General features: G+C 43.2%; 1 protein-coding gene across 8 annotated transcripts in view, besides 1 other annotated feature; it reads left to right on the top strand.

Annotated features, from left to right (window-relative positions):
- The window catches only part of OPCML (opioid binding protein/cell adhesion molecule like), a 1,117,521-nt gene that overhangs the window by 633,269 nt on the left and 470,496 nt on the right, over positions 1 to 13,756 (top strand). The gene's annotated exons all lie outside the window — the stretch shown is intronic.
- Positions 12,662 to 13,168: an enhancer, noted in NCBI's record as "H3K4me1 hESC enhancer chr11:132755960-132756466 (GRCh37/hg19 assembly coordinates)". NCBI's record gives its function as "activates a minimal SCP1, AML or CMV promoter by ChIP-STARR-seq in primed H9 embryonic stem cells {active_cell/tissue: H9 hESC(primed)}" and the evidence as "EXISTENCE:reporter gene assay evidence [ECO:0000049][PMID:30033119]".

Below are 13,756 nucleotides of genomic sequence, written 5' to 3'. Positions count from 1 at the left end.
TTCTGTAACTAGTCACATGGCCACAGCTGGTATTTATAACTGCCTTCCACTACCCATTCTGTATTATTTTACCTGCAGCAAGCACCTCAGCTGGTCATGGTTCATTACCTGGTGGGGTGACCTGAACCTTTATTCCTGAGGAATCTGGGTCATTAGTAGTCCTCCCTGGATTGGGTTGTGGTAGTTTCCCATTGACCTTGATCATGGGGCATGGTAATACTAAGAGACACCCTAAGGGATCTCCTGTATTCCAGGCATAGTCTTCCTTACATCCAGTGGAGTAGTAATCCAGTTTCCCCTTCCTGATCCGGATCAGTCACCCAGTCAGCACCATAACATAGCCAGTTGACTCAGAAGCATGAGGCCTCCAAAGTGGCTGCGGGGGTGGGGGGGGCAGTCTAAACTTCCAGTTCAATGGAATCATTGTTGTGTCTCCTGATGGAAACATTACTCTCTCTGGAACTAAGACCTCTAGGTCAGCAGAGCATAAAATCATGGGAAAAGGAAGCAAAACCTTTGCTAGTGGGTCACTAGGGGTATTGGTGAGTGGTGACACTCCCACTCTGTGATTCCTGACTCCATGTATCCTGACTATGGGAAAAACAGGATCATATATTGGATGCTGATTCAGAGCACATACAGCCTTCTGGAAAACCTTGCCCCAGTCCTGCAACGTTAGCTGGTGCTGTAACTGCAACTTCAAAAGGCCATTTTATTGTTCTGTCAAGCTTGTTGCTTCAGAATGGTGGGACGCATGGTAAGATTAGTGGATCCCATGAACTTGGGCCCAGTGCTGTACTTCTTTGGCTGTCAGGTGAGTTCCTTAGTAGATACACTGTGTGAAATACCATGAGCGTGGATAAGGCATTTTGTGAGTCCACAGATGGTAGTATTGGCAGAAGCATTGCATGGAGGGAAGGCAAACCCATGTCCAGAGGAAATGTCTATTCCAGAAAGGACAAAATGCTGCCTCTTCCATGATGGAAGCCATCCAATGTAATCAACTTGCCACCACGTAGCTGGCTGATTGCCCTGGGGAATGATGTCATGTCAGGGTTTCAGCGTTGGTCTCTGCAACAGGCCAACTGAGCACTCAGTGGTGGTTGTAGCTAGCTTAGCCTTGGTGAGTAGAAGCCATGCTGCTGAACCCGTGCACAACCTCCATCCCTACCACCATAGCCACTTTGTTCCTGAGCCCACTGGGCAATGACAGGGATGACTGGGAAAAGAGATTGACTGGTATTCACAGAATGGGTCATCCTACCCTCCTGAATATTAACATACTCCTCTGTGGAGCTCATCTTTGGGTGAGCATTTACATGAGAAACAAATAACTTCACATCCTTTGCCGACTCAGAGAGATCTATCCACATATCTATTCTCTCAATGTTTTTGCCACCAATTTTCTAATCATGTTCCTTTCAAGTCCCTGACCATCCAGCCTGTGAATCAGTACCTAATCACACATCTGGCCATTTTTCCTCTAAGCAAAGTGCACAACCAGGTGCACTGCCCCAAATTCTGCCGCTTGAGATTTTCCTTTACCACTGTCATTAAAGGATCTTCCAGAAAGGGGCTGAGGTGCTGCAGCTGTCCACTTTTAGCTGGTGCCTCTGTATCATACAGAACCATTTGTCCACAAAGCCCGATTTTTCTCTTCCTCTGTCGGCTGATCATGAGGACTCCCCATAAGGCCATAGGTGCAGGTGGTGGGAGAGAAGGCAGTGTGATAGGAGTAGACACCAAGGACATTTGGGGCATTTCTTCATGTAACTTCTTTGTACCTCCAGGGCCTGTGCTGGTCCATTATTTGATGAGGGACTGCTGCTGTGCATGCCCTTCCTGGCTTGGTAGGTCAGATGACACCCAGTTCATGATGGGCAGCTCCGGTCACCTGGTAATTGGTGGCCCATGGTCAAGCGTTCAGTTTCTATTAAGGCCCAGTAGCTGGCCAAGAGCTCTCTCAAAAGAGTAGTTATCTACAGATGATGGCAGAGCCTTGCTCCAAAATCCTAAGAACTTCTGCTGTGATTCTTCTACAGCACCCTGCCAAAAGCTCCAAACAGCATCGCTATCTGCCACTGACATCTTGGATATCATTGGATCTGCTGGGTCATATGGCCCAAGAGGAAGAGCAGCTTGCATGGCAGCTGGGACTTGCTGTAGAGCCTTCTGTTCTGGACTCCACTCAAAACTAGCAATCTTTTGGGACCCTCAACAAATGGGCCAGAGTAAGACACCCAAGTGAGGAATGTGTTGCCTGCAAAATTCAAATAGGCCCACTAGGCATGGTATCTCTTTCTTGGTTGTAGGACGAGCCAGATACACAACATATCCTTCATCTTAGAAGGAATATCTTGACATGCCCCACACCATTGGACTCTTAGAAATTTCACCAAGGTAAAAGGCACTTGAATTTTAATTGGATTATCTCCCGTGCTCTGATATGCAAACGCCTTACCCATAAGTCCACAGTAGTTTCTACTTCTTGGTCATGAGGTCTGATCAGCATAAGGTTATCAATAGAACAGTATGAAATCTTATGGAAGGGAAAGGCAGTGAAGATTCCCGCAAACTGGATTGTGACATAAAGCTGGCGAGTTGATATATCTCTGATGTAAGACAGTGAGGGTGTATTGCTGGCCTTGCCAGCTGAAGGCAGAGTGCCTCAGGTGGGCCTTATGAACACAAATGGAGAAAAAGGTATTTGCCAGTTTAGTAGGTGCATACCAGGTACCATTTTGAAAACTGCATTCAACTTGTCTTTGACGGTTGAGTGCCGTCACTTGGTCCCTATCACCTTGGGATCCAATTACTCCCATTGCATTTAAGTTTTCCAACTGAATAACAGCAGCTCCCATTGTAAGGTCTGGTCTACAGAGAAGAGCAATCACAGAGCTCTTCAGGGGTGCTGGGGCTCCCCTCACAAATCCATTGTTCAAAGTATTGATGAAAAGTCTGTCTTCTGGACCCTCCTGGTGTGTCCGAGTAGGGTTTAAGTGACAAATCCACTGTAGCTTTCCAATCTCCCTAAGCCTTTGAATCCCTTCCTCTGTGTTAGCCCAAGGGAGATCAGGCATCTCCAGCTCACTCACAGTGGCTCATGTTTTTTGATCCATGTTTTACCACTCAATCAAACAAACTCACTCCCTGAGCTGCAAAGTTAAATTGAGGACCTCGGCTCTGAGGGTCCATATAAGTAAATTTGGCCTGATCCAACTTTATATTTCTTCCACCATATTCCCACACTCTCAGTATGCATTCCCACAAGCATTCCCCAGACTTCTGCTTGTATAAATTAGAAAACTGAAGTAGTTCTTTTGGAACATGGCACACCTCCTCCTGAATCACACTTTGAACCTCACCTCTAGGGGCCTGCTGGGACTCAAGTCTAGTTACAGGTCCAGAAGCAAAGAGGGGCAGGGGGGGTGGATTCTGAGGAGACTCAGCATTGTCTTGCTTGGCAACTGCCTCATGGAGGCTGTTACCATTTTCTTAGACAATGCAGGGTTAACTCCTTCAGACAGAGATGGAAAACCCTATACTATTGTGGGTGGGAACCACTTCTGCTAGCAAATAACACTCATCAGAATTTCATAGCTCAGTGTCTCCAGCCTCATCAGAGCCCTCCCACACATCCCCATCTCAACTTACAGATCCCATTCTGTCTCAACCAATGGCCTCACTTTAACCACAGACGCCTGCGGAGCTGAGAGTTCAGCTTTTGCTGTGATTCAGTCAGTCATATGATAAGCGCTCTTGTTTGATTTTCAGCAATCCCAGACCTGTGGCTACATGGGAGGAGATTCAGACTCAGGGCACACTTAGAAGCTCTTCAGCTATTTATGTAGAGCTGGGGCAGGAAATGGAATACCTGAACTCATTCTTTTCCTTCATCCCTTTGTCCACTGACATTAGGAGCAACCAACCAAAGTCATTATATTCGTTGGTTCTGCACAAATGTTAAGGGTATCATATATAGAAGTCACCAAGTTTCTTGTCTCTTATAAGTGGTGAATTAAAAGTACCAAATGTACCTATTTTATGTATCTCTATGAGCAGTTTGCACTAGAGAGTTCAGTGCTCTCTGTGCTGTTAGAAGTAGAGTCTTTGGCATTTTTAGATTTAACCAGATTAGATAGCCAATTCTAGAAACCCCAAACCAATTATGAAAACCTCTAGAACCACTGTTGGTACTAAAATCTGCACTAGTCAGTGTTCTTCAGAAAGACAGAACCAACAAGCTATTTATAGATATATAGATATATGTGAGGGGATTTATTAGGGGAATTGACTCACCTGATTACTGAGGCTGAGAAGTCCTGTGACAGCCATCTACATGCTGGGGATCCTGGAATGCCAGTAGTGTTGTTCAGGCCAAGTTCCAGGGCCTGAAAACCTGGGGTAGGAGTGGGGGTTGCTGGTGTAAGTCCTAGAGTCCAAAGGCCAGCGAGCCTGGAGTTCTGCTGACCAAGGGCAGGATAAGAGTGTATCCAAGCTCCAGGAAAGAAACCTATTTGCCTTGCCTGTTTTGTTCTGTCTGGGCCCCCAGCCTATGAGATGGTGCCAAGCACACTGAGGGTGGATCTTCTCCACTTGGTCTACTCAGACTCACATGCCAATCTCCTCTGGAAACTCCCTTACAGACACATCCCACTATAATGCTTTCCAGTTCTGTAGGTACTCCTTAATCCAGTAGGTGGATACGTAAAATTAACCATCACAAGTTCTGCTGCTCAGAAGAGCTCTAGGCTCTTAAGTGGTGTGGGCCCCTGAAGTCATGGGTGTGGATTAGCTCTATGGAGGATAAAGAAGAAATTAAGAAGACAGTGCCTTAGACAGAGTCTTGGAGATCTTTAATACTTAGTAGCTTTAGCTTGGATGAATGAAACATAAGAATCAGCCAGAAAGTTAGCTGGAGAGCAAGGTTGTTTTTAAATATAAGAAGCTCAAGAATACTATTTCAAGAAGGAGGAAATAGTCCAAAGAACCAAGTGCTTGCTTGTAAGTCAGGTATAATGACTGATAAAAGACCTAGTGTAACAAGATGATTGATGACATTAATGAAAAGTATTTCAGGCAAGGATGAGACCAGACTTAAATGAGTAGACTGAGGACTGAATGGGAGGTAGAAAAGTAGAGGCAAACATTATAATTCTTACAAGAAATCTGGTTATTTAGAGAAGAAAAGACTAGAAGCATGATGGAAGGAACAAGAGTAGTGGAGTAAATTGTGGTGTGGCATGTGCTTGTGTGTGTGTGTGATGTAAAGACGCATCTTTAGCTTCTAGAAGTTTTCAATTTAATGTAGACAACCAGACCAAGAAACAAGTATGCAGCACTTTGATAAGAGTGTGTAAAGACAGCCTATAACTCCACCTTGCTTATTGGAAGCCAGGAGACGAGATACAGCCCACCATCTTTGGAAACTGTGGTTTAATATGAAATTCTTTCTATATTTTGACTGAAGCTTCAAAACAATGGGAGCTATTACCATATTGCAAAGCAAGGTGCCAGACCACTGGCAATACTTGCAAAGAGTTGCTAAAACAGATTTTGCGATATTGCTATCTCCTCACCTTTAGCCTTCATAAGAGGCTGGCAAAGAGAGAGTTTGATATTAGAAAGACATTAGTGGCTTCTTTCTCAGAGAGCTCCTGATGGTCTCCGAATTGCACCCTTCCCAGGGAAGGTGTTGTGGAACAGACTTTTTTCTCACCTCTAGACTAGATGGAGGAACTAACTACAAGGAGACTACACACAGAGCTTGATGATCCCAGGGAACCAAACAAAAGCACAGGTGATGGGCTAGCTGAGTGCCCAGCAGCAGCAAATAGGGCTGCACCGGGGTGGGGCAGGGGCGGTAACTGCACTTCTCACAGCCATGGTCAAGCGTCTGTATTTCCCGAGGATGATGGCTTAGCCATGCTGGAAAGATTAGGCCTGGAGGTTTTTTGTTTTGTTTTGTTTTGAGACGGAGTCTTGCTCTATCCCCCAGGCTGGAGTGCAGCGGCACGATCTTGGCTCACTGCAACCATAGGCCTGGAGTTTTTATAGCTCCTGTCCAAGTGAACCACCAAATGGTTCAGTTCTGTGACAACGAAGGGTCTAAAACACCCACTGTAGTTAGTCAAGATGATTGACGATTTCAAAAACAAGGGTTAATGGGGGTAGAAGGTTGATGGCAGAGGGGTGAAATGTGAGTGAGAAGGAAGGAATTATAAACAGTGAGTGGGGACAACCTTTGTATAATAGAAGTTGTGAGAAGGAGAGTAGTACATGAAAATAGCTATAGGAAGGGCCTTTGTTTTGTTTTGCTTTTCAAGGATGCCAAAATCTGAATGTAATCCAGATAAAGCTGGGCTTTGTTGCTTTTAGCTTCTTGCTCTTTGTTATATTCTACTCAATAAATAGCAGTATTGCAACAACAGTCACACATATTATTGGAAAGAATACTTTACTTTTGAGATGGAGTCTTGCTCTTGTCGCCCAGGCTGGAGTGCAACGGCATGATCTTGGCTCACCGCACCCTCTGCCTCCCAGGTTCAAGCAATTCTCTTGCCTCAGCCTCCCGAGTAGCTGGGATTAGAGGCACCCACCACCAGGCCCAGCTAATTTTTGTATTTTTAGTAGAGACGGGGTTTTGCCATGTTGGCCAGGCTAGCCTCAAACTCCTGACCTCATGATCCACCCGCCTCGGCCTCCCAAAATGCTAGGATTACAGGCGTGAGCCACCATGCCCGGCCAAGAATACTTTACTTTTGAAAGCGAGAAAGGGCCTCTCTCTTTGTAATGCACATCGATGTAGTTAAAATTATTTTTTCTCTATATTTCTTTCCATATTTTACAAGCCCTTCTTCTGTCCCCCACTCCAAATAGCTCTCCTTTTCTTCTCAACCACCCCACACTCTCTTCTAAACCCAGTTAGAATGAGTTATTGATTCTTCTGTCTCCTGGATATGCCTTTAGGATCTATTCTAATTTTCTAGGGGAGAAGTCTGCCTTTTCCGCTGTAAATTTAGTGATTTCCAGCCTCTCCAGCTCTCCAGCCTCATTGCTACTCAACACAGTTACAGACCTTTCTAGGTGATGACATTGGAACAAAGGCTCTTGTCTTTTAAAAGCGATGGAGGAGAAGTCCTTAAGTATTCATACTTTAATATTGTAGCTTTGCATCGACTTAGTATTCTTCAACACTGTTGGAAAAGAGCCAGAGGGAGTGGAGCTGGAAATCCATGCAGTGGGTCCTTGAGGAGAGAAGCAAGGGTGGGAACGGAGCCCAGGTATAGGGGAACCCTCAGACAGGAGGGTACACAATTCACGGCAGCAGGGGTGTGGGTGGGAGAGGATGGGCGGGATGAAGAGAGGATGTTTACAGGGAACATGGAAATTGAAAAATCTGGACGTTAAGAGAATTTCTTTCATGCAGCTGATTTACCCAGCTAATATAAGGTAAAGACAATATTTGAATGAAATTAGAGGTGACAAGATATTATCCAAAATATTTATACATTCATTCATTTGTTCATTAATTCAGCAAACTTTCAATGAGCACTTGCTCTGTGCCAGGCCATGTTCTAGACACTGGAGGCCTAAGAGAGAACAAGAGAGATAAAAGCCTTGCTCTCATGGCGTTGATATTCTAGTTTATATTCTGGTTTATATAAACTGGAATATACACTTATATATTCCAAATATATATTTATATCTTCCAGTTCATATCTAGTTTATTTGCATATAAGCAAACTGAATTTTAAATATTCCAGTTTATATTCTAATTTGTTTATTTGCACATAAACAAACTCAGTTTTAAATATTGGTAAGTATTTTAAGAAAAATAATACGGAGTCCTGGGCAAGAAAGGTTGAAAAGGGAGGAAAATGGCTACTTTTGCTATGATGTCTCAAAAAATCTTTCTGACCAGATGGATGAGCTTGGGTCTGGTAGGAGAGGAACAGCAACAATTGCTGTGTGCCCAAGATGTAAAAATAGTTATCAGTGAAGTTGACACTTGAACCAAGACAGCCAGACACTTTTGGGAAACTTACCTAAAATAATTTTTGTAATATAGACTTCCAAAAAAGTTACCAACAATCACCTAGAACTACCTTACCTAATTTTAAAAAAGTTCTAAATTACATATGCTGATTTCTCTTAAGGTAAATAACTTTGGATGTGGCTTGTAAATTGCATACTACTACCATGTGGGACGGACACAAACAAGGTAAGATGATGTTGGCATACTTCATAATAGAGAGGGGAGATGTAAAGAGTGTTAGTGCTTTGCTGAGCTCATCAAGCTCTGACTTTGTTTCTTGTATTTCTCATCATAGGGTCATTTTTCTTTTCTTTTTTTTTCTTTTTTTTTTTTTTTTTGAGATGGAGTCTCGCTCTGTCACCCAAGCTGGAGTGCAGTGGCTCGATCTCGGCTCACTGCAAGCTCTGCTTCCCGGGGTCACGCCATTCTTCTGCCTCAGCCTCCTGAGTAGCTGGGACTACAGGCGCCCACCACCACGCCTGGCTAATTTTTTTGTATTTTTTTTTTTTTTTAGTAGAGACAGGGTTTCACCATATTAGCCAGGATGGTCTCGATCTCCTGACCTCGTGATCCGCCTGCCTCGGCCTCCCAAAGTGCTGGGATTACAGGCATGAGCCACCGTGCCTGGCCCATTTTTCTTTCTTATCTTTATTTTATCTTGCTCTTTTGTATGTATCTTTGTAACCTCCCTTAAATTATTCTGTGTAAAAGTTGCATGTCTAAATAAAGAGCATACTCTAGAAACTCAGTGATTTTTCTCTTCTGCTTCTTCACTTCTCCGGTCTCCAAATGCTGATGTGGATGTCTGCATCTATCTTGTTGAAGTAAAATTAAAGAACAATGGATTTTTCATATGTTGGCTCTTTTGTAACTTGACTCCCCCAGAAGCTGAGCAGTGAGATTTGGAGGGTGAAGAAAGATATTGTCAGTGAAGATGGTTCTAGCATTATAGGACTTCTTTGAAGTGGAAGAGAAGGTATTTTAGCCAACACTCAGAAGCTTCCAAGAACACCCTTGACATCAGAATTCCCTGAAAATAGGCATCTCAGGAGCATTAAAGAAAAATTTAGGTTATAAAAGGAAGAAGGCATAGCAAGTAGAAAAAAATTACAAAGGCCCCACAAAGATAAAAAGTTGCCTTGCGGATGATGATGGAAGCTTCATCCAGAATCTCTTTCCTAAAATATGAAATTAGTTTAGGTTTTGCCACTCTCAAATTAAAAATACTAATAGCCCATTTCTGCCTATTAAAATGGTGCATATTGAACGGTGTCTATGCTTGTGTTACACACACAATAAATTAAACTTTGACGTATTTCTGCAATTTCTGTTCACTTTTTCATTCGGGAAGCAAGCATTTATTGACATCTCCTATATGCCAGCACTGTGTTAGAATGGAATGGGCTGTATTTATTCAGACAAACCTCATCCCTGTACTAATTGAAGTGTGATATCCTAATGAGTTCTTCTACAATGCTGCTACCTTTCTTAGATCCAGAACAAAAGTAAACCATGGAGTTGGAAGACAAAATACTGATGACAAAATGTATTAATTGTAATTAGGCCCTGGGCACTGGCTGTAAGAGGGAGACATCTCTGGTAGGAAATATCAGGAAGGAAAACCTAATAGTTCTGCCCAGTTGGCCTTCATTATCAATCACTTGGACCTTTCAGTGAGTATGTTTTTCTAATGAGATGAGAGATGCTTGTAAATATTCCAAGATCTTCAGCTACAACATGACTATGTGGGTGGGGCATTGTTATCATTGTGGATGCAAATTTAGAATCTTTTCTAGGCAAAGGTTCTCCACTCCATGAGGTCAGAAGTACCTGCTTGCTAAGCTCCAGAAGGTTATGTCCCATGGACATTTGAACAGAAAGCAACTTTGTAGCACTTGCCCGTGCTTGGTAGGAGGATGTAAGGGGTGTTTTAACGTAAGAACAGAAGGAGCCACCATTATTCCGACTTCCTCCCTTGCCCAGAATTAACTAGAGTTACCTTAAGCAAATCAGCTTTCTTTGTCTGTCCTTGAGATCTCTTTAAAATATCACTTAAAGTTGCAGTCCTGAGGCAAACAGTTAGATGTTCTCTATACATTGCCCAAAAGCCACCTTCTTTCATTCCTACAGTGTCATTCTCTCACTGTACCTGGACATAAGTCCTGAAAAATCATCTGCCAAGTGCCCTGTAAACTGTGGCACTGCTCTCAGATAAAGAAGTAAATGGCATGATTTCTAAGAGTTTAGGGCTGATTTGTCCTTTTCATCTATTCTGACATGATTTAATGTTCCAGAACTTGTAAAGGGAACAGATTTTTTTTTTCTTTTTTTTTTTTGTTGTAAAATTTGTGAATAATTTATCAAGTGACTGAAAGAGCAGTGGCTTTAAATTATTAAAATGCATTTTGGTTTTGAAAGAAGACATTAGAGATGTTTGCCTTGGCCCATTCTTATGCCTTTACACAGCAGCAAGAGATTCCTACAAATTCAGGGAATGGTAAGGTGATTTTCAGTGATTTATGGGGAGACTGAGAAAGAGCCAAAAAAAAGCCAAACAAACAAACGAACAATACAGACAACTTTCATTTATTTAAGACAGAGCTTTTTCCGAAGCAAATAACCTTTTGTTACATCTCCAGAGAAATGACATTTCCTTTCCCTTTTCCTGCTTTGCAAGGACAGCAGATGCGTGGGGGGAGAAACTGAAACAAATGGAAAGTAAGGCAGGCACAGGCTCCTTCACGTTCCTTCTCCATGAGCATCCCTCACCGAGCATGCTGAAGGCATGGCTGTGCTTCCTTCAATTTGTCACACATCAGAGACAGCGCACAGCCTCTGATCTCTAGAGGAAGTTATCCATTCCACTCTGTCTGACCTAAATAATAAATTCTAGGCCGTGCAGCCTGGAATGATTCCTGTCTGTCCCAAAGGACCCTGGTTGGGCCCATGTGCCTTGTGGTATGGGGTGAGACGTCCCACCCAGATCTTGGCCATCTTAGTGACAGAAAGGGAACTGAACGTCAAACCAGGCTGTCTACATCCAGATACATCAGCTCCTACACCCTGCTTTTCCTTGTGCCTCCCCTCTTCTCTTTATTCCCCCTTCACTCTTTGCCAGTAATTTCTCTTCCACACTCTCATCCAAAGGCCGCATGCCCCTCCAAGCCTCTCCCAAATCCTACTGTAAATGGAAAAGGACATTCCATGCTGGTCTTACAAGCAACAAAATCTAGACAGTCATGAGACCAGCCCTTGGCCTGGCCTCAACTTTCCCTATGCTATGTATAAATCCCTGAGAGAAATTCTCTCTGGGATAGGAAATATATTTCACATGGCACAGCTTAGGCAGAGTAAGATAGAAAGCTAAGCGTAGTAGAAGATCTGGCAGAGGTGCCGCAGCGCGGACAGGGAGCTGTGAATCTGCCGATCCCTTATGTTTTTGACACTCTCTTAAACCATTTCTGATTACATCAATCCTACCTGTTTCTCTCATATTTCAATCCCTTGCTCTGAAAAGGAAGCAAAAAGTGATCGTTCTATAAAATGAAATTTTAGTACCCCTATTTTCTTGTTTAGATACTCCCAAATGGGTATCATCATCCTCATTCCTAAGTTTAGAAACGTGCCTATTGTACTAGGTGGCCGGGCTGGAGTCACACTCAGGCTGTGCGATGTTGTTCATTGTACTCGGTCAGGCCCCATCTTCGGGGTGAGTGCAAAATAGCTTGGGAAACTGGGTATGCATTCAATCCATTTTATTTCTTGTTCCTCCTTTTCAGAACAAGGAGTTGGAAGATGAAACACAGTCATGTGCTGCTTGACACCAGGACACATTCTGAGAAATGCTTCATTAGGCGGTGTGGTTGTGTGTGAACACCACAGAGTGTAGTTATACAAACCTAGATGGCATAGCCTACCACACACCTAGGCTCCGTGGTGGAGCCGACTGCTCCTAGGCTAGTGTTACTGTACTGAGTGCTGGAGGCAGCTGTAATACAGTGGTATTTGTGTATCTAAACATAGATGAGGTAAAAATATGGTATTATGGTCCTACGAGACCACCATTGTATTTGTGGTCTGTCAGTAACTTAAATGTTGTTATATGGTGCATGACTATACAGGTAGGGTCTTAGAATGATAAAATTCTGTAAGTGAGCAGAGGCTTGTACCTAATTTAGTTTAATCTACTCTTTTTAATGATAAAACTGGGGCTCTGAGATGCTCAGTGGCTTGAATCCAATGTGCTCTCCATGGGGCTAGTGCTCTTTCCACTGTAGTGAGCCACTGGCATTCTGCGAGCGGGGCACGATGGCGTTCTGGGATGTATATGCAAGAAGTCAGGAAACACTCAAGGTCAGAGGACAGAGGCAGGGGCACTGGCTTTTAAAACAGTTGTGGCAATTTTCATTTCCAAAGATGCTGCAGGGACATCTCATCTCATACACTCTTCGGTCTTCTACCAGCTGGCCACGACTCCCCCAGCACAGGGAGGAGTCTGGGCCCCCTTTTCCTGAACCCGGTATGGACTCATGACTTGCTCATAACCAATGGAATGTGGCAGAAGTGACTCTGCCTGACTCAGGCTGGGTCAGAAAAGGCCAGGCAGCTTTGGCCTAGCTGGATTGGGCAGGCCCTGGAGGAGCCACCTGCCTGAAAACTCGGATTACCCAGAGACCACATGCTGGAGAGGCCCCCAGCTGGAGCTGGTCCTTCTCACGGTCGCTGCCAAGGTGTCAGATAAGGAATGAAGAAGCCATTGTGCACACTGCAAGCCCTGTCATTCCCAGTCATTTGAGACTTCCCAGCTGAGGCCCCAGGCATCATAGAACAGGGGCAAGCCGCCCCCACCCAGGCCAAATTCCACACCCACAGAGTCCATGCCCACAGTAGCATGGTTGTTGTTCAAGTTCCTAAGGTTCATGAGGCTTGTTATTTAACGACTGATAATTAGAGAATAGTAAATGTTTATAATAAAAAATAAAATAGAAATAATAAATGCTTACAAATAACAAAAATAGTTTTATAGTAAGTTAATTTTGAAAGCTTTATTGATATGGGACTAGTTATGTAAATTACGCTAATCCATACAATGGAATACTTTGTAGCCCTTATAGGAATGTGATAGCCCTATACTTATTATGGAAAGAGGGTAAAGAGGCATGACAATTGAAAAAAGCTAGTGGAAAAGTATGTATATTATAATGGTGTTTGTATAATGAAGGCAAAGGAAATTGTGTGTTTGTGTGTGTGTGTTTCTGTCTCGTGGGACATGTATCTACACAAGACATTTCTGAAAGGATACAGGAGAAACGATGAAGTGGTTAACTGGATAGGGGGAATGAGGACTCAGGGAGGGGAAATGTTACATGCCAAGAGAAATTTATTTTTCTTGTTACTGTTTTCCCTACTGTTTGATTTTCTACCACGAGTTTGCTCTATTTTGAAATTAATGCTTCCAAGATGATGAATATTTTATATGCTACCTCCAAAGAGAAAAAAATTCTTTATTGCAGGTGACAGCTGAAGTTGTATATTTTCAACTGTAGCACAAAGACAGTAAAAATTATTTTTTTAATATTTGAGAAAGCCCTTTTACCCCAAATACCAACTTCATTTTCTGCATAGCTCAGTCCAAGGTGTCATTCACAAAATATTAATAATATAAACTATGATGTCATGTGAAGTAGGTGATATTATTGGGGAATTAATTGATGTCAT

Source organism: Homo sapiens, chromosome 11, assembly GCF_000001405.40.
Source record: "Homo sapiens chromosome 11, GRCh38.p14 Primary Assembly".
Classification (NCBI taxonomy): domain Eukaryota; kingdom Metazoa; phylum Chordata; class Mammalia; order Primates; family Hominidae; genus Homo; species Homo sapiens.
This window is presented reverse-complemented; position numbering and strand designations above follow the sequence as displayed.